This window comes from Homo sapiens, chromosome 1 (assembly GCF_000001405.40).
Source record: "Homo sapiens chromosome 1, GRCh38.p14 Primary Assembly".
Classification (NCBI taxonomy): domain Eukaryota; kingdom Metazoa; phylum Chordata; class Mammalia; order Primates; family Hominidae; genus Homo; species Homo sapiens.
The window spans coordinates 38,865,768-38,889,998 of record NC_000001.11 but is presented as its reverse complement, the minus strand read 5'-3'; the positions used below and the strand labels follow the sequence as shown (position 1 = coordinate 38,889,998).

At 43.3% G+C, this 24,231-nt stretch overlaps 3 protein-coding genes and 2 long non-coding RNA genes across 12 annotated transcripts in view, besides 2 other annotated features; 4 read left to right on the top strand and 1 right to left on the bottom strand.

The window, feature by feature from the left end:
- RHBDL2 (rhomboid like 2) overlaps positions 1-4,192 on the top strand; it is a 56,024-nt gene extending 51,832 nt beyond the window's left edge. For both annotated transcript variants that reach the window (NM_017821.5, NM_001304746.2), the window contains exons 7-8: positions 1,975-2,036; positions 3,316-4,192. In NM_017821.5, the coding sequence (NP_060291.2) occupies positions 1,975-2,036; positions 3,316-3,495 (242 nt within the window). In that variant the 3' untranslated portion in view covers positions 3,496-4,192. The remainder of the gene's footprint in view (positions 1-1,974; positions 2,037-3,315) is intronic.
- Positions 4,193-8,372: 4,180 nt separating this feature from the next.
- The window catches only part of GJA9-MYCBP (GJA9-MYCBP readthrough), a 19,137-nt gene continuing 3,278 nt past the window's right edge, over positions 8,373-24,231 (top strand). The window contains exons 1-6 of one of the 5 annotated variants that reach the window (NR_037634.1): positions 8,373-8,567; positions 13,806-15,221; positions 16,090-16,404; positions 16,909-16,981; positions 22,389-22,437; positions 22,990-23,119. This is a non-coding gene — a long non-coding RNA (GJA9-MYCBP readthrough). Of the gene's footprint in view, positions 8,568-13,805; positions 16,405-16,908; positions 16,982-22,388; positions 22,438-22,989; positions 23,120-24,231 lie in introns of all 5 variants that reach the window. The other 4 variants (NR_037633.1, NR_037635.1, NR_037636.1 and 1 more) reach the window with 4 other exon arrangements.
- GJA9 (gap junction protein alpha 9) lies at positions 8,412-15,930 on the top strand. Its single transcript, NM_030772.5, has 2 exons — positions 8,412-8,567; positions 13,806-15,930. Exon 2 carries the CDS (start codon positions 13,901-13,903, stop codon positions 15,446-15,448), a length of 1,548 nt encoding a protein of 515 aa, NP_110399.2. The 5' UTR covers positions 8,412-8,567; positions 13,806-13,900; the 3' UTR covers positions 15,449-15,930.
- Positions 10,188-10,372: a silencer, noted in NCBI's record as "fragment chr1:39345299-39345483 (GRCh37/hg19 assembly coordinates)". NCBI's record gives its function as "represses an EF-1alpha promoter that drives an FKBP-Casp9 reporter gene in an ReSE screen in HepG2 liver carcinoma cells and K562 erythroleukemia cells {active_cell/tissue: HepG2 | K562}" and the evidence as "EXISTENCE:reporter gene assay evidence [ECO:0000049][PMID:32094911]".
- The window catches only part of RRAGC-DT (RRAGC divergent transcript), a 16,334-nt gene continuing 5,875 nt past the window's right edge, over positions 13,773-24,231 (bottom strand). The window contains exons 1-2 of one of the 2 annotated variants that reach the window (NR_135048.2): positions 16,420-16,571; positions 13,773-14,058 (exon numbers count right to left, since the gene is read on the bottom strand). This is a non-coding gene — a long non-coding RNA (RRAGC divergent transcript). Of the gene's footprint in view, positions 14,059-16,419; positions 16,572-24,231 lie in introns of those variants that run through there. The other variant, NR_186075.1, reaches the window with a different exon arrangement.
- Positions 16,621-24,231, top strand: part of MYCBP (MYC binding protein) — a 10,889-nt gene continuing 3,278 nt past the window's right edge. The window contains exons 1-4 of one of the 2 annotated variants that reach the window (NM_012333.5): positions 16,651-16,708; positions 16,909-16,981; positions 22,389-22,437; positions 22,990-23,119. In NM_012333.5, coding sequence (NP_036465.2) covers positions 16,694-16,708; positions 16,909-16,981; positions 22,389-22,437; positions 22,990-23,119 — 267 coding nt within the window. In that variant the 5' untranslated portion in view covers positions 16,651-16,693. Of the gene's footprint in view, positions 16,709-16,908; positions 16,982-22,388; positions 22,438-22,989; positions 23,120-24,231 lie in introns of both variants that reach the window. The other variant, NR_037632.1, reaches the window with a different exon arrangement.
- Positions 17,095-17,617: an enhancer, noted in NCBI's record as "H3K4me1 hESC enhancer chr1:39338054-39338576 (GRCh37/hg19 assembly coordinates)". NCBI's record gives its function as "activates a minimal SCP1, AML or CMV promoter by ChIP-STARR-seq in primed H9 embryonic stem cells {active_cell/tissue: H9 hESC(primed)}" and the evidence as "EXISTENCE:reporter gene assay evidence [ECO:0000049][PMID:30033119]".

Genomic DNA, 24,231 nt, shown 5'->3' with positions numbered 1-24,231 from the left:
TAGTCATTTACAACTAAATGAATATTGAATATTTCCTCGACCTCAATTTCTGTCCAGTGACTTCAACATCAATCAATACAGTATTGAAAGGGAATCTAGTCAGAGCACATGTCCTGATGCTATTTTCCCAAAGGCAAGGACTAGGTCTTTTCATCTCCTAGGACACAGTGGCTCACTAAGTAGAGCATAGGGAATTAGGGGATGGGTGTGGAATGTGATAGCTGCAAGAGATGTTTCCAAGCACTACACATATAGGGCAGAGTTCTTCTAGGCCAAGAAGTCGGAAGCTCCTTTTGCAGTGCAGATCCGACTTACTTGACGACTGCCTAACTTCTGGCTCTCACAGTTTTATTGGAGAATATGGAATGATTTCCTTTCATGGCCTGACACCTTCAGAACTCCCGATGGTAATTACAGGCAATTAGTGTGGTGGCTGAGAGTGGAGTCTTGGTGTCTTGGTTTCTTTATGTATAAAATGCCACCATCCTTCTTCACTTCGATTGCTACAATAGTATTTTTCCAGCTGGTCTTCCAGTTCCTGTTCTTGCTCCCTTATAGTCTACTTCCTATATGGCAGCTAGAATAATCTTTGTAAAACCATCAGTGTGGTTGCTCAAGCCTGTAATCCCAGCACTTTGGGAGGTCGAGGTGGGTGGATCACCTGAGGTCAGGAGTTCGAGAGTTGGAGACCAGCCTTGTCAACACGGTGAAATGCTGTCTCTACTAAAAATACAAAAATTAACCGGGCATAGTGGCACATGTCTGTAATCCCAGCTAATCAGGAGGCTGAGGCACGAGAATTGCTTGAACCTGGGAGGCGGAGGTTGCAGTGAGCCGAGATTGCACTACTGCATTCCAGCCTGGGCGACAGAGTTGAGACTCTGTCATAAACAAACAAACAAAATCTATCATGTCACTCCTGTGCTCAAGAGCTTTCAAAGACTTCCTATCACTCAGTAAAGGTTGAAGTCCTTACAATGGCCCATATAGACCCTACATAATCTGTCCCCTGCTACCTGTCTGACCTCATCACCCACAACCTTATCCCTAACTCTAGTCCAGAATCACCTGGAGGTCTTGTTAAAACAAAGTTGTTGGAAACAACTTTACCACAGTTGGTAGTTGGAAAACACAGCCATGGAAGTAGGAATCTACTAAGGAGAGTACAACTCACCTTCTGAAAACAAAAACAAAAACAAAAACAGAAAGCTGAGTCCCACCCTTAAGTTTTCTGGTTCAGTAGGTCTGGGGTGGGTTTAAGAGTTTTCATATCTAGTAAGTTTCCAGGTGAAGCTGATGCTGCTGGTCTTGGTAAAAACCACTTTGAAAACTACTGATCCAGCCAGCTCAACTGCTTTGGTATTTTTCAAACACACCAGGCACATTCCTGCTTAGGGACTTTGTACTTGGTCTTCCCTCTCTCTGAAACACTCTTATGTCAAATAGCAGCATGACTTGGACCCTTACCTCTGTCCAGCGTCATATTCTCAAAGAGATCCTCCTTGACACCCCTATTGGAAATCACACTCGACAACTGGCATTCCTATTTCTTCTTCTCTTTGTATTTTCTCCATAGCACTTAGCACTATTTGACATACTGTATGTTTTACTTATTTGTTTGCCTCCCTACCAATCACCCCCCCACATACCCCCCAACAGTTTGTCAGCTCCATGAGTCAGGGCTGTTAGATCTGTCCATTGCTGCCTATCTACCAGCTAGAATAATGCCTGACACATAGAGGACAATGAATGCTTGTTGGATGAATAAATCTGTAAAATGGGATAATGATAGTTCCTACTTCACAGGGTTGTGATGAAGATTAATGAGTTAAAAGATCTCTTAGAAAAGCACCTGTCACAGAGTTAAGTATCAATAAATGATAGCTAGTATTATTATTATTAGAGGGGAACCAAAAACATTTGGTGTACTACTGTGGAGATTCTGAGCCTTTATCAGGGTGTTTTTCCTTCTAGTTGTGTTGGACATGGGATTTGCTCTCTATAGAAGGTTCTTTGTTCCTGAAGATGGGTCTCCGGTGAGTTCAGTTTCTTTCTTTTATAAAATAGAAATTAGTTTACTGTCAAAAAGGGTTATCAAATAGGGGTTACAACGCTGTGATTTAGGGCAGCCAAATTTCCATTTGGAAGTTAAGAAAATTTTTAAGGAAATCAGACTTTTGAATTGTCCTTCCCACTTAACTCTCTCACAGCCCTGATCACTGGCTCTACTTCACTGCACCTGCCATATTGGTAGCTATTCCAAAACAGGAGAGAATGGCCAGGCGTGGTGGCTCATGCCTGTAATCCCAGCACTTTGGGAAGCCAAGATCGGCGGATCACAGGGTCAGGAGTTTGAGACCAGCCTGGCCAATATGATGAAACCCCGTCTCTACTAAAAATACAAAAATTAGCTGGGCGTGGTGGCAGTCACCTGTAATCCCAGCTACTCGGGAAGCTGAGGCAGGAGAATCGCTTGAATCTGGGAGGCGGAGGTTGCAGTGAGCCGAGATCGCACCACTGCACTCCAGCCTGGGTGACAGAGTGACTCTGTCTCAAAAAAACAAAAAACAGGAGAGAATGGATTTTCCTGTCCACATAGAATAAAAAGCAGTTGGTTTAGCCAGGCATGGTGGCATGTGCCTGTAGTCCCAGCTACTTGGGGAGCTGAGATGGGAGGATTGCTTGAGTCCTAGAGGTTGAGTCTACAGTGAGCTGTGATCATGCGACTGCACTCCAGCCTGGGCGACAGAGTTGAGACCCCATTTCAAAAAACAAAACAAAACAAAAAAACAGATTGGAAAACAGCAATGAAAGATTGAGTTCTATAAGTTGACAATAAAGAAAATTGACAAAATTTTCCAGTTTTGCTGTGATTTGTCTTTGAATTTGGTAGTTTCTGTTTGGGTATTTCTTGTGTATGTTATTACTTGTGTTTTAAATCTGAAACCCCATGTATGTGGAATCAGATTATGCTGCTATAGAGATCCCTCATGGCAACTCAACCATTCTCTTAGTTGGCATTATATAGAATTATTTTAAATGCAATGATGATTAAGAATGAGAAACAATTTCTCTGTCTTTTGTACTCTAAGAATGGGTGAAAATGACATTTTTAAGCTTTGTATCTTTCAGAGTATCTCCTTCTCTCTGTGCACATGGAGTTTTGTGTCTCTTTTGCCTTACCCCTAGTTCTCTAGACCTTTAAGACTCTTGTTTAACTGTGACGGTATTTGTGTTTGAATAAGAGAGATGCAACTGAAATACACAATTAGCATTGTCTTCACTTATTTCCATTTTCCCTCCTTTTCTCCCAAGGTGTCTTTTGCAGCTCACATTGCAGGTGGATTTGCTGGAATGTCCATTGGCTACACGGTGTTTAGCTGCTTTGATAAAGCACTGCTGAAAGATCCAAGGTTTTGGATAGCAATTGCTGCATATTTAGCTTGTGTCTTATTTGCTGTGTTTTTCAACATTTTCCTATCTCCAGCAAACTGACCTGCCCCTATTGTAAGTCAATTAATAAAAAGAGCCATCTGGAGGAAATAAAAAAAAAAGGAAGACTCTATGAAGAAACAGAGAAGTCTCAGAAAAGGCTAACAATTTTATATAGAGGACAAAACAGCATTAAACTCATCAGTTGCAAAGATTGCCTATAAAAGGACCTTAGGATTTAAGGAAGGGGCTTCTTAATGTAGAAAGGGAAGAAGAAGAGAGAAAAGAAGGGTAGTAAAAACTAGAGATTGGGGCCAGGCGCAGTGGCTCACGCCTGTAATCCCAGCACTTTGGGAGGCTGAGGCGGGTGAAATCACCTGAGGTCATGAGTTCAAGACCAGCCTGACCAATATGGTGAAACCCTGTCTCTACTAAAGAAAATACAAAAATTAGCCGGGCGTGGTGGCGTGTGCCTGTAGTCCCAGCTACTTGCGAGGCTGAGGCAGGAGAATTGCTTGAACCTGGGAGGCGAAGGTTGCAGTGAGCCGAGATTGCGCCACTGCACTCCAGCCTGGGTGACAGAGCGACACTCGGTCTCAAAAAACAAAACAAAACAAAACAAAATTAGAGATTGGGTCTTTCCCAGGCATATGGTATTCTATAAAACAGACTTACTCTCCTTGGAGGATATATTTTGGAGAATGCTTCATAAAATCTATGAATACTGTACAATGCTGATAATAAAAACTTTTTATACCTGTGTCAGACTCCTGATAATCACTTTAAAATAGATCACTGTTTGAGGAGATAGATCACTACTGTTTGAGGTGTTTTACACACTTTATTGATAATATTATCAACAACCCGGAAAGGTAGTTATTACTCTGCATCTTAGAGTAATCTTAAAGAATCCCTTAAAGGAACCCTTAAAGAATTAAGTACTTGTCTGAGGGGAGCAGAATTTAAACATAGATAATGACTTGGAAACCTGTAGTCTCCCCTATAGGTCCAACAATGCTGTGTTCCCCAAACACTGAAGGGTATCATAGGAGTACAGGAACAAACATCTATGCGGGGTACACCATGAATGGTGGAAATATCTCATAGAAGAAGACTGAGGATTTTCTGGACTGCTAGTTTAAGATTCTGATACCGTGTCTAAGATCCCAAGGAACCGGGCACTGGCTTTCTGGTGCACACTATATACCTAGACTTCAGATTCTCATCTGTGATCAGACTGTCATCCTTCATGTGGGTCATGGCTCTCCTAGGAGTGGGTAGGATTTATTTACAGAAGGTAAAATGTCATACCTGAAAGCTGAGAAGCATGTGTCATTTTCCTGTATAGAATTCAGACTGTGGTTTATTATGTTTTTGGAAATGGTAGTTTTGGGTCATCTGAATATAGGAAATATAATTTTTTCTTTTATCATCAATGTATTTATTAAACACCCATCTAAACATGTCACTGTATCTGGAAGGGGCATATACACTTAGTTAGATATAGTGAGAAAAGTTAATACTTTAGTATTTTGAGAAAAACTGATCAGAAATTTGTTTAAAAAGTTAAATTTAAGTATAAACATGGGAATATGAGTGTTTTTTTTTTTGTTTTGTTTTTTTTTGAGATGGAGTCTCGCTCTGTTTCCCAGGCTGGAGTGCAGTGGGCTGATCTTGGCTCACTGCAACCTCTGCCTCCTGGGTTCAAGCAATTCTCCTACCTCAGCCTCCAGAGTAGCTGGGATTACAGGCATGCGCCACCACATCTGGCTAATTATTATTTTTTTTTTTTTGAGACCGAGTCTTGCTCTGTCGCCCAGGCTGGAGTGCAGTGGCCGGATCTTGGTTCACTGAAACCTCCGCCTCCTGGGTTCAAGTGATTCTCCTATCTCAGCTTCCTGAGTAGCTGGGATTACAGGTGGCCGCCACCAAACCTGACTAATTTATTTATTTATTTATTTATTTATTTATTTATTTATTTATTTATTTATTTTTAGTAGAGACGGGGTTTCACCATGCTGGCCAGGCTGGTCTCGAACTCCCGACCTCAGGCCCTCAGGCGATCTGCCCGCCTTGGCCTCCCAAAGTGCTGGGATTACAGGTGTGAGCCACTGTGCCCGGTCCCTAATTTTTTTTTTTTTTTGAGATGGAGTTTCGCTCTTGTCATCTAGGCTAGAGTGCGATGGTACGATCTCGGCTCACTGCCACCTCCACCCACTGGGTTCAAGTGATTCTCCTGCCTCAGCCTCCTGAGTAGCTGGGATTACAGGCACCTGCCACCACGCCTGGCTAATTTTTGTATTTTTAGTAGAGACGGGGTTTCACCATGTTGGCCAGGCTGGTCTTGAACTCCTGACCTTAGGTGATCCGCCCACCTCGGCCTCCCAAAGTGCTGGGATTACAGGTGTGAACCACTGCACTCGGCTAATTTTTGTATTTTTTAGTAGAGACGGTGTTTCACCATGTTGGCCAGGCTGGTCTCAAACCCCTGACCTCAAGTGATCCACCCACCTCAGCCTCCCAAAGTGCTGGGATTACAGGTGTGAGCCACCATGCCTGGCCTTATGAGTGTGTTCTTGGTTAAACAAAGATTCAAACAAGAAGTTAAAAGATAAAATCTCAGCCAGGTGCAGTGGCTCATGCCTATAATCTCAGCACTTTGGGAGGCCAATGTGGGAGGACTGCTTGAGCCCAGGAGTTTGAGAACAGCCTGGGTAACATTCAAGAACTCTACAAAAACATAAAAAATAACCAGGTGTGGTGGTGCTTGCCTGTAGTTCTAGCTACTCCAGAGGCTGAGGTGGGAGGATCACTGGAACCCAGGAGTTCGAGGTTACAGTGAGCTATGATCATGCCACTGCCCTCCAGCCTGGGTGACAGAGTGAGACCCTGTCTTAAAAAAAAAAAAAATCTCCTTTTGCCTTCTCACTTCAAACCTGCTGTTTTTCCCTAGTGCTGACCATCATCAGTGGTCACAACAGTATGGTCTGTATCCTTGCAGACATTTTTCTATGTAGGATGAGCAGAAAGGAAAATGGATTTAAGTTAATGTCCAACTCATCCACTGTATTGAACTTCACTGAATCTGCTCTACACCCTCAAAGGGACAAATCTGAAGAACAAATTAGAGGTGTCCATGGTATAACTCCTCCTAAGCATCATTTGCTTCTCAGATTGATCTCAACTAGGAAAAGTTTTTGTTAATCGATTTTAGCTAAATATATATGTGTGTGTGTGTGTGTGTGTGTGTGTGTGTGTGTGTGTGTGTATATATATATTTTTTTTTTTCTTGAGACAGGGTCTTGCTGTGTCGCCCAGGCTGGAGTGCAGTGGCGCCATCTCGGCTCACTGCAACCTCTGCCTCCTGGGTTCAAGCAATTCTCCTGCCTCAGCCTCCCGGGTAGCTGGGATTATAGGCATGTGCCACCATGCCTGGCTAATTTTTGGTATTTTTAATAGAGACTGGGTTTCACCACATTGGCCAGGCTGGTCTTGAACTCCTGACTTCAGGTGATCCGCCTGTCTCAGCCTCCTCCCAAAGTGCTAGGATTATAGACATGAGCCCAGCCTCTAATTAGATATTTTTATGAAATGTAGGTTTTAACAGGATAAATGTGATACATGTATTGTTCTATAACTTGCTTTACAACATGACCTAGGGACCTTTCTCTATTAGTTCATAGAAATCTTTATTCTCTGAATTGCTGAATGATATAGATGTACCATAGATAACCATTCCTCTGTCAGACATTTAAATTATTGCTGCTTTTGTATAATTACCAACAGTGCTATGTGAACATCCTAGCATGTGCAGTGTGTCTCTGAATGTCTATGCTGAATGAATATTTCAAGTATCCAAAAGCAGAAATGCTATACTAATATTGATAGGTTTAAACTGCCTTTTAAATAGCTGTATCCATTTATATTCTTACCTACAGGATATGAGAGTAACAGTGTCTCCCTACTTTGCCAAAAGAAGGTATTATAAATCTTTAAAATTTTGCATTTTGATAGTTAAAAAATAATATTTCACTTAAATATGTATTCTCTGACTACCGAGGTTGAGGAAGTTTCGAGTTTATTAATAATTTATGAGTTACACATATGTAATTCAGATAACACATAATATAGAAACATGAATATATTGTGCATGTATGTGTGCCTATACAAATATATATATATATAAATAATATATATATAAAAATATATATGTAAATATATATATATATATATATATATATATATATATATATATATATATATATATTTGTCCCTGGTGAAATGTTTGTATTTAATCTGAGAAGTAGCTATTGTTGGCAAAAAAGCCCAGGGAAGAAGTATTTATCTGTTATGCTCAACCTGCCAGATCACTAGCTCTGAAGGGACCTTTAATGACCTAAAATACAATGTAATTGTTAATAACAGAACATGGGAGACAGAATCAGGATCTATCTATGAAATCGGACATGACCCATTTATTAAGGCAGATGACCAAGAAGTTATTATCTAGTAAGAAAGACTTTTTTGGTTCTAGAAACATGGTTTATTGCACAAAAAACAATGACATTTTATTAGGTTCCCCCAGTGGCAAAAGTTGCATACAAACAGCACACAAATACCTCCTGTCATTTTAAATTTGACATCTCTGAATTATGGAGGAATCATTCACTCAGCTTAATTTGGGGCTCATGACTTTAGTCTTCTAGATTGCAGTGTGTTATCAGGACTATTATAAGCATTCTTTATCTGTGCTGTCCAAAAAAGCAGCCATTAGGTAGATGCAGCTCTTTACATTTTTATTAAAATTATTTAAAATTAAAAATTCAATTGCTCTGACACACAAACCATAATGCAAGTGTTCAATAGCTACATTTGGCTACTGGCTGCCTTATTGGCTAGCACAGATAGAATATTTCCATTGTTGCAGAAAGTTCTATTGGATGGTGCTGTTTTAAAAGCAAGGATAAGCAGAAAGGGACATGGATTTTAGTTGATGGATGACTCACTCACTACATTCAACTGAACTGAATCTGCTCTATACCAGCAAAGGGACAAATTCAGAAAATAAATTGAAGATGGCCATGCTGTAACTTCTAAACATGGTTTGCTTCTCAGATTTACCTAAACTAAGAAAGGTTTGTGTTAATCTCTCTGTTTTAGCTTATTAAGAAAGAGTTGTTTGAAATGTTTTTATCTTTTTCTTTTGAATTCTATGGTACTGTATATATGTATACCAGTTTTTATGTCATTTGCTATGAAAGCTTTAATTTGTAGCTAAATACTACTGCTCCTTCTTTCAGGAAATACTATGTGTTGTCCTTTATGAAAAAAATATTTTCTTTCTTTTTATGATTATAAAAGTAAAATGCTTATAGTAAAAAATTAAAATACATGTAATTACAATATATTAAGTATATAATTTGTAATCCCAACATCCAGAGCTAATCACCGTTAATATTTTCATGAATATCCTTCTAGACTTTTTTGTATACATCTGTAAATGTAACTAAACTTATAATAATGGGGCCATATTATTCTATTTTATAACATCAATTTCACTGAAATGAAATATCAAATGCCATTTTATGTATGTTTATCATTTCTACTGGTTGCATAGTATCACACCGTGGATGTAGTCGATTATTTAACCAGTTTTTCTTGTATTATTATTTTATGTTTTTAGCTTATGACTATTATAAACAACATGAATTACATCTTTGCTTACATTATTATTATTTATGAACCATAAATGAGACTTAACTTGCTTACTTTTTTTTTATTTTTTGAGACAGAGTCTCACTCTATTGCCCAGGCTGGAATGCAGTGGCCAGATCTCGGCTCACTGCAACCTTCACCTCCCAGGTTCAAGCGATTCTCCTGCCTCAGTCTCCTGAGTAGCTGGGATTACAGGCATGTGCCACCATGCCCGGCTAATTTTTGTATTTTTAGTAGAGATGGGGTTCAACCATGTTGCTCAGGCTGGTCTCGAACTCCTGACCTCGTAATCCGCCCGCCTGTGCCTCCCAAAGTGCTGGGATTACAGGCGTGAGCCACCGCGCCTGGCCAACTTGCTTACATTTTAAAGTGCTTTGGGTTGTTGGGTCAGAGTATGCTATTATTATTATTATTATTATTATTATTATTATTATTATTTATTTTTTTTTGAGACAGAGTCTTGCTCTGTCGCCCAGGCTGGAGTGCAATGGTGTGATCTCGGCTCACTGCAACCTCTGCCTCTGGGTTCAAGTGATTCTTCTGCCTCAGCCTCCCGAGTAGCTGGGACTACAGGCGCCCGCCACCACGCCCGACTAATTTTTGTATTTTTAGTAGAGCAAGGGTTTCAACCATGTTGGCCAGGCTGGTCTCAAACTCCTGACCTCAAGTGATCCGCTGGCCTCGGCCTCCTAAAGTATTGGGATTACAGGCGTGAGCCACCGTGCCCGGCCAGAGTATGCTATTATTAACATAATAAAGTCAATGGAAAGTTTCTCTATTTCAGGAATACAACTATATTTTAGAAGGTTGATGCTTTTGCAAATCGTATTAACAGAGCCGGGCGCGGTGGCTCACGCTTGTAATCCCAGCACTTTGGGAGGCCGAGGCGGGAGGATCACGAGGTCAGGAGATCGAGATCACGGTGAAACCCCGTCTCTACTAAAAATAACAAAAAAATTAGCCGGGCGTGGTGGCAGGCGCCTGTAGTCCCAGCTACCCGGAGAGGCTGAGGCAGGAGAATGGCGTGAACCCGGGAGGCGGAGCTTGCAGTGAGCCGAGATCGCGCCACTGCACCCCAGCCTGGGCGACAGGGCGAGACTCCGTCTCAGAAAACAAACGAACAAAAAAAACAGAACAAAGGCTGAAGAAAGGAACTAAAGACTCTAGAACTAGTTATTTAAAAAGCCAAAGCTATCACTATTTTACATTCCTAAATTTAAATGATTAAACTTAAGAGAAAACAGATAATCTCTTAATGTTTCTTTCCGGCAAATTTGAAGTTTGCTTACAGAGGAAAAATAATAGTTTAGTAAAAAATTTAAGGAGCTGACTCTAAAGCCACAATGATTGGGTTTGAATGCCAGCTCCAGCTGTGTGACCTCAGGTAAATTAAGGTGTGCTTCCGTTTCCTCATCTGTAAGATGGGGGAAACAACATACTTACCGCATAGGATTTTAGTGATGAACACATCTTGTATCTTAGTAGTTTGTTTGATTGTGTAACAGTTCCCTTTATATAAAGGGGACAGGACATACATTTATATTTTAAATGAAAAATAATGAAAATATTCACTTTTAAAATCTTTCCTTTGGGGTATATTTCCTCTGAGATAACCTGGGATACCAACCTTAATATGCAATCTGCCGGCAAATAATCCAAGCAGCTAAATTATAACTTGCCCCACTGCTTCCTTCAAGAGAGCAGCTATATGTCTTAAATAGGTCAAATACTGCTACAGTGAAAGTTTCCATAATACTGCCACCATACCAGTGAACAATCTATTGCAAGTAATATCTATAATGAGATTCTGGTACCATAAGGCCGGGCGCAGTGGCTCACGCCTGTAATCCCAGCACTTTGGGAGGCCGAGGCAGGTGGATCACCTGAGGTTGGGAGTTCGAAACTAGCCTGACCAATATGGAGGAACCCCATCTCTACTAAAAATACAAAATTAGCTGGGCATGGTGGCGCATGTCTGTAATACCAGCTACTCTGGAGCCTGGGGCAGGAGAATCACTTGAACCTGGGAGGTGGAGGTTGCGGTGAGCCGAGATTGTGCCATTGCACTCCAGCCTGGGCAACAAGAGGGAAACTTCGTCTCAAAAAAAAAAAAAAAAAAAAGATTCTGGTACCATAAAATAGTTGAGAATTTTTGGAGTTCTTTTTGTTTTCTGAGACAGAGTTTCTGCTCTTGTCGCCAAGGCTGGAGTGCAATGGCGCGATCTTGGCTCACCGCAACCTCTGCCTCCCAGGTTCAAGTGATTCTCCTGCCTCAGCCTCCTGAGTAGCTGGGGTTACAGATGCCTGCCACCACACCCAGCTAATTTTTTGTATTTTTGTAGAGACAGTGTTTCACCATGTTGGCCAGGCTGGTCTCGAACTCCTGACCTCAGGTGATCCGCATCGGCCTCCCAAAGTGCTGGGATTACAGGTGTGAGCCACTGTGCTGGGCTTGAAGTTCATTTTAACGTAAGAATTTACAAAATTTGGGCTGGGCGCGGTGGCTTACTATGGGAGGCCGAGGCGGGTGGATCACTCAAGGTTCAGGAGTTCAAGACCAGCCTGGCCAACATGGTGAAACCCCGTCTCTACTAACAATACAAAAATTAGCCAAGCGTGGTGGCACTTGCCTGTAGTCTCAGCTACTTGGCAGGCTCAGGCACGAGAATCACTTGAACCTGGGAAGTGGAGGTTGCAGTGGGCTGAGATCCTGCCACTGCACTCTAGTCTGGGCAACAGAGTGAGACTCTGTCTCCCCCCACCAAAAAAAAAGAAAAAAAGTATACTTTTTCATAGTAAAGTATAATAAGTACTTTATACATATTCATAAATATTACTGAGATGAATTTCTGAAAATGTTCACCAATTGCCAGGAAGAAACCAGAATTTATTTCAAATTTATTTCAATTTGGATTAAAAAAACTAATCTAAATTCCTATGACAGCCAGATCTGTTTCCTCTGGTTTCACTGAATGCCATATCTTACTGAATTATCAAATGAAGCATATTCGTTTTCCTATGTGTATAAATGAGATTTAAAAATCACTGACTTTTTGACCGGGCACGGTGGCTCATGCCTGTAATCCTGGCACTTTGGGAGGCTGAGGCGGGTGGATCACGAGGTCAGGAGATCGAGATCATCCTGGCCAACATGGTGAAACCCCGTGTCTACTAAAATACAAAAAATTATCCCGGGGGGTGTTGGCAGGCGCCTGTAATCCCAGCTACTCAGGAGGATGAGGCAGGGGAATCGCTTGAACCCAGGAGGCGGAGGTTGCAATGCGCCGAGATTGCGCCACTGCACTCCAGCCTGGCGACAGAGCAAGACTCTGTCCCAAAAGAAAGAAAGAAAGAAAAAAAAATCACTGACTTTTCAAGCCAGTAATGGCATGTTGGGGAAAAAGAAATTGACTTTGTTATAACTTTTATATCAAATAATCTTAATAAATAAGGTTAAGATCAGGTTACTAGTTTTAGAAACCTTTCCAAAAGTTCTGTTGAAAAACAACAATAGGCTGGGCATGGTGGCTCACGCCTGTAATCCCAGCACTTTGGGAGGCCGAGGTGGGCAGATCACCTGAGGTCAGGAGTTCGAGACCAGCCTGGCCAACATGGAGAAACATCATCTCTACTAAAAATACAAAATTATCCGGGCATGGTGGTGCATGCCTGTAATCACAGCTACTCAGGAGGCTGAGGCAGGAGAATCGCTTGAACCCAGGAGGTGGAGGTTGCGGTGAGCTGAGATCATGCCATTGCACTCCAGCCTGGGCTACAGAGTGAGACTCCGTCTCAAAAAAAAAAAAAAAAAGAATATAATTTTAGGCCATGCGCATTGGCTCATGCCTGTAATCCCAGCACTTTGGGAGGCCGAGGTGGCCAGATCATCTGAGGTCAAGGGTTTGATCTCAGCTCACTGCAACCTCTGCCTTCCAGGTTCAAGCGATTCTCTTGCCTCAGCCTCCCGAGTAGCTGGGACTACAAGCGCCTGCCACCACGCCTGGCTAATTTTTGTATTTTTAGTAGAGGCGGGGTTTTACCATGTTGGCCAGGCTGGTCTGGAACTCCTGACCTCAAATGATCCACCCACCTTGGCCTCCCAAAGTGTTGGGATTACAGGTGTGAGCCACCCCGCCCAGCCTATATTCTTAATAGAGAATATATACACTCCTCCTCCAGGTATCATGTTTTTTTCATTGTATTGTGATGTCTAAATATAAGTGATTTTAAATTCCTGACATTTAAGTATATTATTGGTAACAGATTCACACTTTGGCCAGGTGTGGTGACCCACACCTGTAATTCCCACACTTTGGGAGGTGAAGGCAAGAGGATCACTTGAGTCTAGGAGTTTAAGACTAGCTGCAGCAATAGAGTGAGACCCTGTCTCTACAAAAAAATAAAAAAAATTATCTGGGTGTAGTTGCACACACCTGCAGTCCCAGCTACTCAGGAGGCTGAGAGGGGAGATGATCGCTTGAGTCTGGGAGGTTGAGGCTGCAGGGAGTTGTGGTTGCAACACTGTACTCCAGCCTGGGCAACAGAGGGAGACTCTGTCTCAACAAACAAACAAACAAAGAAAAAACCCCACAGCTATCTAGGGAAAAAGTAAAGCAACCAGCATATAGAAGTGACATATTGTTATATTTTCACCATAGGTTTGCTTTAAGAAATAGTGCTCCCTTCAGAATGGAAGAATTTATCTGCCTCTTATTTGATGTGGATCAGAGCTAAGATGGCTGACTAAATAAACATGGGGGACTGGAATCTCCTTGGAGATACTCTGGAGGAAGTTCACATCCACTCCACCATGATTGGAAAGATCTGGCTCACCATCCTGTTCATATTTCGAATGCTTGTTCTGGGTGTAGCAGCTGAAGATGTCTGGAATGATGAGCAGTCTGGCTTCATCTGCAATACAGAACAACCAGGCTGCAGAAATGTATGCTACGACCAGGCCTTTCCTATCTCCCTCATTAGATACTGGGTTCTGCAGGTGATATTTGTGTCTTCACCATCCCTGGTCTACATGGGCCATGCATTGTACCGACTGAGAGTTCTTGAGGAAGAGAGGCAAAGGATGAAAGCTCAGTTAAGAGTAGAACTGGAGGAGGTAGAGTTTGAAATGCCTAGGGATCGGAGGAGATTGGAGCAAGAGCTTTGTCAGCTGGAGAAAAGGAAACTAAATAAAGCTCCACTCAGAGGAACCTTGCTTTGCACTTATGTGATACACATTTTCACTCGCTCTGTGGTTGAAGTTGGATTCATGATTGGACAGTACCTTTTATATGGATTTCACTTAGAGCCGCTATTTAAGTGCCATGGCCACCCGTGTCCAAATATAATCGACTGTTTTGTCTCAAGACCAACAGAAAAGACAATATTCCTATTATTTATGCAATCTATAGCCACTATTTCACTTTTCTTAAACATTCTTGAAATTTTCCACCTAGGTTTTAAAAAGATTAAAAGAGGGCTTTGGGGAAAATACAAGTTGAAGAAGGAACATAATGAATTCCATGCAAACAAGGCAAAACAAAATGTAGCCAAATACCAGAGCACATCTGCAAATTCACTGAAGCGACTCCCTTCTGCCCCTGATTATAATCTGTTAGTGGAAAAGCAAACACACACTGCAGTGTACCCTAGTTTAAATTCATCTTCTGTATTCCAGCCAAATCCTGACAATCATAGTGTAAATGATGAGAAATGCATTTTGGATGAACAGGAAACTGTACTTTCTAATGAGATTTCCACACTTAGTACTAGTTGTAGTCATTTTCAACACATCAGTTCAAACAATAACAAAGACACTCATAAAATATTTGGAAAAGAACTTAATGGTAACCAGTTAATGGAAAAAAGAGAAACTGAAGGCAAAGACAGCAAAAGGAACTACTACTCTAGAGGTCACCGTTCTATTCCAGGTGTTGCTATAGATGGAGAGAACAACATGAGGCAGTCACCCCAAACAGTTTTCTCCTTGCCAGCTAACTGCGATTGGAAACCGCGGTGGCTTAGAGCTACATGGGGTTCCTCTACAGAACATGAAAACCGGGGGTCACCTCCTAAAGGTAACCTCAAGGGCCAGTTCAGAAAGGGCACAGTCAGAACCCTTCCTCCTTCACAAGGAGATTCTCAATCACTTGACATTCCAAACACTGCTGATTCTTTGGGAGGGCTGTCCTTTGAGCCAGGGTTGGTCAGAACCTGTAATAATCCTGTTTGTCCTCCAAATCACGTAGTGTCCCTAACGAACAATCTCATTGGTAGGCGGGTTCCCACAGATCTTCAGATCTAAACAGCGGTTGGCTTTTAGACATTATATATATTATCAGAGAAGTAGCCTAGTGGTCGTGGGGCACAGAAAAAATAGATAGGGGCAGCTCTAAAGACCAGCTGTTAAGACAGACAACTGCAAACTCATTTAAGCAAGAGAAAAACAGCTCTAATTCGAGATTGTGAAGCAACACTTCTAAATTCAAAGACATAGAGTTGTCAAATCAGGATTTTTTTTTTTTTAAATGATATCCTTTCGAATGTAACTGATTTTGGGAAAATCACATGTTCAGAATTGAGGCTAAATGGTTTGATCAGGTTTTCTCTTTGAAGAGACCACAGCCTTAGGAAATGGTTCTTGATCTATACAATTCCACCTTGGACACTGGGTTAATTCTGTTTGCCCCTGGAACACAATCACGTAAGTTTCCTTCTAGACTGGCATCCTGATGTGTCTTGAGTATAATCACATGTTGCTACCTAGTAAATAAAATCTTAAGAAGATCCGTGGCTTTCCTTCACCAGTTCATAGCATCGTGATTCATTGCCCGGATTGGACTCGACTCTACTCACTGGACATCTAACCACTCCACTTAATTAACAATACCCACCCTACAGGGGTGTTGTAAGGATTAAAATTTAAAATACCCGTGTTTTCTACAGTGCCTGGCTCAAAAGCTACTGCAAGCTCGTTACTGCTCATCCTCCAGAGGCCCACATCAAGTCAGCCACGACTCAAGGAGACTCCAAAGATAAAAGCTGAAGCCAAAATATATGATTCTAAACACCCTCCTCGGCTACTGCAAAGCACTGTGAGCACTTTCTCAGGACGAGAGCCAAGAAGCCCAGCACCTATGGGTCACCACAGTTTCCGAGGTCCCAGATGAAAAAGATGCGCTCGCTACCACCGTGCGGCGGTCCTTTCTCTCGCAATAGTCTCAATGCTCCCGGGCCCTGCCTCCGGACGCCAGGACAGAGGTACCAAAATCTCACCTCCTGCAAAGAAACCTAATTGCTACGGGGGCCGGAAGAGGAAGAGGTGCGGCTCCGACAGCCAGAGGGGCGGGCATACGCAGCCTCCCTCGGCTCAGCCTGCTACTGGGGATGCAGAGCGTCCTGGTCGCCATGAAAACAGGCCACACCTCGGCGATCCCGGCCGGTGGTTTGCAAGTGCGCAGGCGCGCGCCCCCTTCCGCGCATGAGCAGTGCTGCTCCCAACCCGCCAGTCGCGGTCTCCGGCGCCAGCTACGCCGCTGCCGCTGTCACTATGGCCCATTACAAAGTGAGGGGGGCGCGGCGTGGCTGGGGGCATGCGGGCGGTAGCAAGCCGCTGGTCGGCTCTGGGTGGGAGTGGGGTCGCGCGCGCAGGTTTGGGCGGGAGGGCCCCGAGGTAGTGAGGCGGAGGCGGGGTTGCCGGACTCCCAGCGCCTTCTTCCTGCTCGGCTCCCGGGCTCTGGCCACTGACCCCCGGTGTCTCTTCAGGCCGCCGACTCGAAGCGTGAGCAGTTCCGGAGGTACTTGGAGAAGTCGGGGGTGCTGGACACGCTGACCAAGGGTGAGCCTGGGCTAGGAGAGGGTACCTCGTGCCCTCGTCGTGCTCCCCGGCGCTGCCCCGTTCCCCAGCGGGCCGTAGCGTGGGGAAGGAGGGGAAACAGATGGGGCCCGTCCGGGGTCCAGCGAGGTGGGCCTCGGGGTTCAGCAGGGACCTGGCTGCTGGACGCCGCCCGGGTGGGGTAGCCTAGCTCCGCTACCCTTCTCCGCACCGGGAGTGAAACTCTTGCAGCTGTTGCAAAGTCTCTTCAACTTCCGTTGCTTTGCCTCCAGCAGCCGCAGTGGACATGTTTGCCAAGGACCTTCAGATCCCAATTCCTCCCACCTTACGGTTTTTATGGAGTCCTCAGAATCTTGTTAAGAAAGTTTCCCTCCAACAAAGAGCAACTGGAAAAATGACCGAATTTCCAAGTGGGCTATGAAGTAGCTGAGTGAGCCTAATCCCCAAAGTAGGAGATTCATAGCGAATTTGGCTGTGGCTTTTCAGCCCCCATTCCTTAGTCTGTCTGTGTCAATTCTTATTTTGTGTATATTTCATAAAGTAGAATTACAGCTTAAAGAGCTCGAGGGCATATCAAGGTGGTTACATTGTTTTCACTTTTTAAAATGAAAGCTTACTGTTAACGCTGTATCTCTTCATTCGTGGCTTCAAGATCTAAGTTAAGTAGATGAGTAAAGTGTTGGAAACAGGAGGATTTCAAGGGGTAGGGTACAGTTTACTTTATTGGCTTAGCACTAATTTGAATGCCTGCTATGTGTCACTCAACTCACTGGGATATTCAAGGGTGTAGAATGGAATTGTTCGCAGGGATGAGGACTTGGGTCATATGAAACTAGGAAGTTTGGGAAGTGGGAAATAAATTGGTAACTGCCCTTTGGACAGAAGCAAAGTTTAGAGGAAAATTCTAGGAGCATAACTCCTGGGTCTTAGAAGAAAGAAGGCTAGTAATTTTGAATTGCTACCTATTTGGGGTTCAGATAATAGTTTACCTCTTTGCAAATAAACTTCAGCAAGTCTTAAGGGACTACTCTGTGAAAGTACTGTGCTATGTTGTCTCTGAAAGTGTCACAGATGCTTTGAATGTCATTCCGTCTAAAAACTCCTTACGTTCATTTCTTTCATTTAATAATTTTACTCAGGTGTCTGTTCTGCACACTGGAGATAAGCAGGGGAGGATAAAAGTCTCGGCTCTCATAAGCTTATATCCTAGTTGAGGGAGAGAAATACATAAATAAATATGTAGTGTCAGCTAGTGGTAAGTGGTACAGATAAAAATACAGCAAAGTTAGGGATAAAGAGTAACAGGTGAGGCCAGGCACGTGGCTCATGCCTGTAATCTCAGCACTTTGGGAGGCTGAGGTGGGTGGACTGCTAGAGGCCAGGAGCTCAAGACCAGCCTGGGCAACATGGCAAAACTCCCATCTCTTAAAAAAAAAAAAAAATTGCTGGGCATGGTGTGTGCCTGTAATCTAGCTACTGTGGAGGCTGAGGTGAGAGAATCACCTGAGCCCAGGAGGTCAAGGCTGCAGTGAGTTGTGATTGTGCCACTGGGCAACAGTGACACTCTGTCTCCAAAAAAAAAAAAAAAAAAAAGTGACAGGTGGGATGTGTGTGTCATTTTATATAGGGTGATGGGGGGAAGGCCTTTCTTAAGAAGTAATTTTTGACCAGAAACCTGAAAGAAACAGAGTTTCAGGAAGTCTAAGGAGGCCAGAGTGGTTGGATGGAGCAAGTGAAAGACTGAATGGTAAAAGGCAGAAAAATGACAGTTGTAGGCGGTAACTGACTACACAGAAGATGTTGCCCAGGCTGGAGTGCAGCGGCATGATCTCGGCTCACTGCAACCTCCACCTCCGGGTTCAAGCGATTGTGTTGCCTCAGCCTTCCAAGTAGCTGGGATTACAGGCATGTGCCACCATGCTTAGCTAATTTTTTGTATTTTTAGTAGAGAGGCGGTTTCACCACATGGGCCAGGCTGGTCTTGAACTCCTTACCTCAGGTGATCCGCTCACCTCAGCCCCGCAGAGTGCTGGGATTACAGGTGTGAGCCACCGCCCTCCACTAGAATTTAACCTCTCAATCTCCTTAGATTTCCAGGCTCCTAAATAACATCAGCCAACACAGTATTGATGTGATTTATTAAAAATTTGATTTTCAGCTCCAAACATAGGTGCTTTACACAATTCTATTTGTTTTTTTTTTTTTTTTTTTTTTTTTTTTTGAGACGGAGTCTCGCTCTGTCGCCCAGGCCGGACTGCGGACTGCAGTGGCGCAATCTCGGCTCACTGCAAGCTCCGCTTCCCGGGTTCACGCCATTCTCCTGCCTCAGCCTCCCGAGTAGCTGGGACTACAGGCGCCCGCCACCGCGCCCGGCTAATTTTTTGTATTTTTAGTAGAGACGGGGTTTCACCTTGTTAGCCAGGATGGTCTCGATCTCCTGACCTCATGATCCACCCGCCTCGGCCTCCCAAAGTGCTGGGATTACAGGCGTGAGCCACCGCGCCCGGCCTCTATTTGTTTTTACTTTTTATTTTTTTTGAGACAGAGTCTCACTCTGTCACCCAGGAATGCCTGGCCTCAAGTGATCCTTCTGCCTTAGCTTCCCCAAGTGTTGACGTTACAGGCGTGACCCACTGTGCCCAGCCTCACAAATTTAATTTACATATATATATTTTTTCGAGACAAGGTCTCTGTCGCCCAGACTGGAGTGCAGTGGTGCAGTCATGTCTCAGTGCAGTCTTAATCTCCCAGGTTCAAGCAATTCTCCCACCTCAGGCACCCAAGTAGCTGAGACTACAGGCACGCACCACCATGTCCGGCTGATTTTTAATTTTTTTTTTTTTTTTTTTTTGAGACGGAGTCTTGCTCTGTCACCCAGGCTGGAGTGCAGTGGTGCGATCTCTGCTCACTGCAAGCTCCGCCTCCCGGGTTCACACCATTCTCCTGCCTCAGCCTCCCAAGTAGCTGGGACTACAGGTGCCTGCCACCATGCCCGGCTAATTTTTTTTGTATTTTTAGTAGAGACGGGGTTTCACCATGTTAGCCAGGATGGTCTCAATCTCTTGACCTCATGATCTGCCTGCCTCGGCCTACCAAAGTGCTGGGATTATAGGCGTGAGCCATCATGCCTGGCCAATTTTTTTTTTTTTTTGTAGAGTTGGGGTGTTGCCCAGGTTGATCTCAAACTCCTGGGCTCAAGCAATCCTCCTGTCTTGGCCTCTCAAAGTGCTGGAATTTCAGGAATGAGCCACTTTGGCCTAAATTTTTACAGCTTATTTCCAAGATGATTTGAAATAGTTTATAACATTAAAACACTATGAAAGGATGGCTAAAGATGATAAATCATTTGGAAGCTGAAGCATTTTAGCTATTTTGAGCGCTATATCAACCTCTAAAAATCCTGGCTGCGAAGGCAAAAAGGGGAGCATGATTGGGTATAGAGTTCTTGTCTGATTACAAGGAAGTGCATTTCATCTATAGAACAGCACAGGAAACTTTGTATTTACAGTATCTTCTGCAACTATCAACCTTTCAAGTACCAGTGACAAATGAGAAGCTGAAAGAAATGGGGTGGGGGAATAAGAGGAGGAGAGAGTAGAGTATTAATATTCATGTCTTATAAAATGAGGATTTGGCCAGGTGTGGTGGCTCACACCTGTAATCCCAGAACTTTGGGAGGCTGAGGTGGGTGGATCACCTGAGGCTGGGAGTTCGAGACTAGCCTGACCAACACAGAGAAACCCCGTCTCTACTAAAAATACAAAATTAGCCGGGCATGGTGGCACATGCCTGTTATCCCAGCTACTAGAGAGGCTGAGGCAGGAGAATCGCTTGAACCTGGGAGGCGGGGGTTGTGGTGAGCCAAGATTATGCCATTGCACTCCAGCCTGGGCAACAAGAGCAAAACTCTATCTCAAAAAAAAAAACAAAAAAAAAAAACCAAATGAATTTCTCAAAAAATAGTGATTTTTTCATACTGTATATTATTTTGGTAAGTTATTAAAACTCTAAAAGAACAAAAGGGAAGTATGTAAGTTGGTTTACAACAGGACTTAACTTGGGGTCTAGATATCTATCACTGTTTTTTTGTTTGTTTGTTTTGTTTTTTTGTTTTTGAGACAGAGTCTTGCTCCATCGCCCAGGCTGGAGTGCAGTGGCACGATCTCGGCTCACTGCAAGCTCCGCCTCCTGGGTTGACGCCATTCTCCTGCCTCAGCCTCCTGAGTAGCTGGGACTACAGCCGCCCGCCACCACGCCTGGCTCATTTTTTGTATTTTTTAGTAGAGACGGGGTTTCACTGTGTTAGCCAGGATGGTCTTGATCTCCTGACTTCGTGATCTGCCCGCCTTGGCCTCCCAAAGTGCTGGGATTACAGGTGTGAGCCACTGCGCCCAGCCACATTTTTTTTGTGTGTGTTTACTTTTTTTGCTTTTATTAGATTTTTCAAAGGGTTCCATGCACAAAAAGGCCAACCACTGATTTAGAGTTTTTTATCTAAGTAGTAAATTCTAGGAGGAATTTGTTCCATAGATGAAGAGCAAGGCAGTGCTCATATGAGTGATTAGATATGAAACCACTCAAGTATATCTTATTTTAATGTTGATTTGAGCATGTTGACTACTGGTAAAGTTTTTGGTTGGTGGTTATTTAGCAAAACAAACTTAATTTTTAAGACCATTTTTGAATTCAGAGCTTCTTCCGGTAATTACCATAGTCCTGTTGATTCTTTCCTAAATTCTCGAATTTCTTTCTTCTCACTGTTCTCTCACTCCCATCACTCTACTGCAGGTTGCTGTCTTTTTAAACTGGATTACCACATCAGCCTTTTAACTGTTCTTCCTGTCTTTATCCTTGTCCCACTCCAGCTGGTCCACATAGCAGTTAAGAGTGGATCCTGTCACTCCCTTCCTTTAAACTGTTTAATTATGTGCCAACCAAATTTGCATGACTCTCCCTAATCTGGCCATGACCACCTTTCCAGCTTCCTTTCCTGCCAAATTACATCTCCAGCCATACTTGAATTTTCAGTTCCTCAATACATTGTTTTCTTGCTCCTGGGCCTTCCCATTTTATCTGAAACACTCAACCCCTAGGTATCAGGTCTTTGCCTTCCTTTAGGAAGCCTTCCCTGATGTCCTAGGTTTGCTTAGGTGTTCTTCCAGTGTGCTACTGCAACCCATTATCCAGTATTCCTGCTTGATACCCTCTGTCTAGTTCCTTGCATATCTTTTATGCTTGACTGTAAATTTGTTGAGAACAGGGACCTTGTCTGTCTTGTTCAGCATTGTATAGTCTTTGCAATGTGCTCAGCGTATAGTTGGCACCTAATATTTACTGGGTAATGGAACATAATTTCAGCCATTCAAATTTAATACGTCAATTGTTGCTTTTTCTGCTTTTTGATTTGCAGTGTTGGTAGCCTTATATGAAGAACCAGAGAAACCTAACAGTGCTTTGGAGTATCCTTTCAAGTCAGAAAAAGGCTTTATTTTGAAACTCTTATTTTTTTAGATAGATAATAACCTTTAAAATACTTCTGAATATTGAGAAAGTTACTTTTTTTTTTTTTTTTTTGAGACGGAGTCTTGTACTGTCACCTGGTGGGGAATGCAGTGGCGCAATCTTGGCTTACTGCAACCTCCGCCTCCTGGCTTCAAGCGATTCTCCTGCCTCACGTCTCCCAAGTAGCTGGGATTACAGGTGCCCACCATCACACCCAGCTAATTTTTTTTATTTTTAGTAGAGACGGGGTTTCACTATGTTCATCACGTTGGTCTCAAACTCCTGACCTCGTGATGTGCCCACCTCAGCCTCCCAAAGTGCTGGGATTACAGGCGTGAGCAACCGCACCTGGCCAAGAAAGTTAGTTTCACTTGAGTTTTTGGATGGTGATCTCTGGGTAGATATTGGTGGTAAAGTGGGTGACTCTGGTCAGGGATATTGATACTACTCTGTGCTATTTCATTAGTTTCATTCATGTCTAAGAAGTAAGTTCTTAACATTGATAATAGTTTTTTAAAGCATCACTTAGGAGCTGCTACTCCAGAAAATCCAGAAATAGAGCTGCTTCGCCTAGAACTGGCCGAAATGAAAGAGAAGTATGAAGCTATTGTAGAAGAAAATAAAAAACTGAAAGCAAAGGTAAATTTTTAAAAAGAATTCATATTCAAATAATTTTACCTGTAATAATTGTATGATGAAAACCTCACTGAAATGGACAGGAGGGGAGGGAGGTGGGTGAATATCAATTTGAATTAATTACAATGTAAGGCCAAAGTTATGCCCTGTCAAGAAAACCACAAGACGGGCCTGGCACGGTGGCTTACGCCTGTAATCCCAGCACTTTGGGAGGCCGAGGTGGGTAGATCACGAGGTCAAGAGTTCGAGACCAGCCTGGTCAACATGGTGAAACCCTGTCTCTACTAAGAATACAAAAATTAGCCGGGCATGGTGGCATGTGCCCATAATCCCAGCTACTCGGGAGGCTGAGGCAGGAGAATCGCTTGAACCCGGCAGATGGAAGTTCCAGTGAGCCAAGATCGTGCCACTGTGCTCCAGCCTGGGTGACAGAACAAGACTTCATCTAGGGGGGTTAAAAAAAAAAAAAGAAAACCGCAAGACATACTGGAAATAGGACAAGCAAAGAAGCAAAGTGTGGTCAAGAAGAGGTTCTGGCTGGGTGCGGTGGCTCACGCCTATAATCCCAGCACTTTGGGAGGCTGAGGTGGGCAGATCACCTGCGGTCAGGTGTTCCAGATCAGCCTGGCCAGCATGGAGAAACCCCGTCTCTACTGAAAATACAAAATTAGCCGGGCTTGGTGGTGCATGCCTGTAATCTCAGCTACTTGGGAGGCTGAGGCAGGAGAATTGCTTGAACCCGGGAGGTGGAAGTTGCAGTGAGCCGAGACTGTGCCACTGCACTCCAGCCTGGGCAACAAGAATGAAACTCTGTCTCAAAAAAAAAAAAAAAAAAAAAGAGGTTCTTAGGAACCTGTATTACTAAAAGGATGAGAATATTGGTTAATGTTCTTTATAAGTAAATGGTCAGTTCTGAGGTTCTTAAGCAGTTGATTTTAAGTAGGCCAATATGGGGCGACTGCTTTGTAAATGGCACTTCTTAGAATTTGTATGGTTCATAGTTTGCAAGGCCATATGTAGCGGCCCTCTGTAAATTTGTTAGGACTTAATTTTATCTAGTGCTAAAGTTTTTTCTTTCTTTTTTTGAGACAGGTTCTCTGTTACCCAGGCTTGTG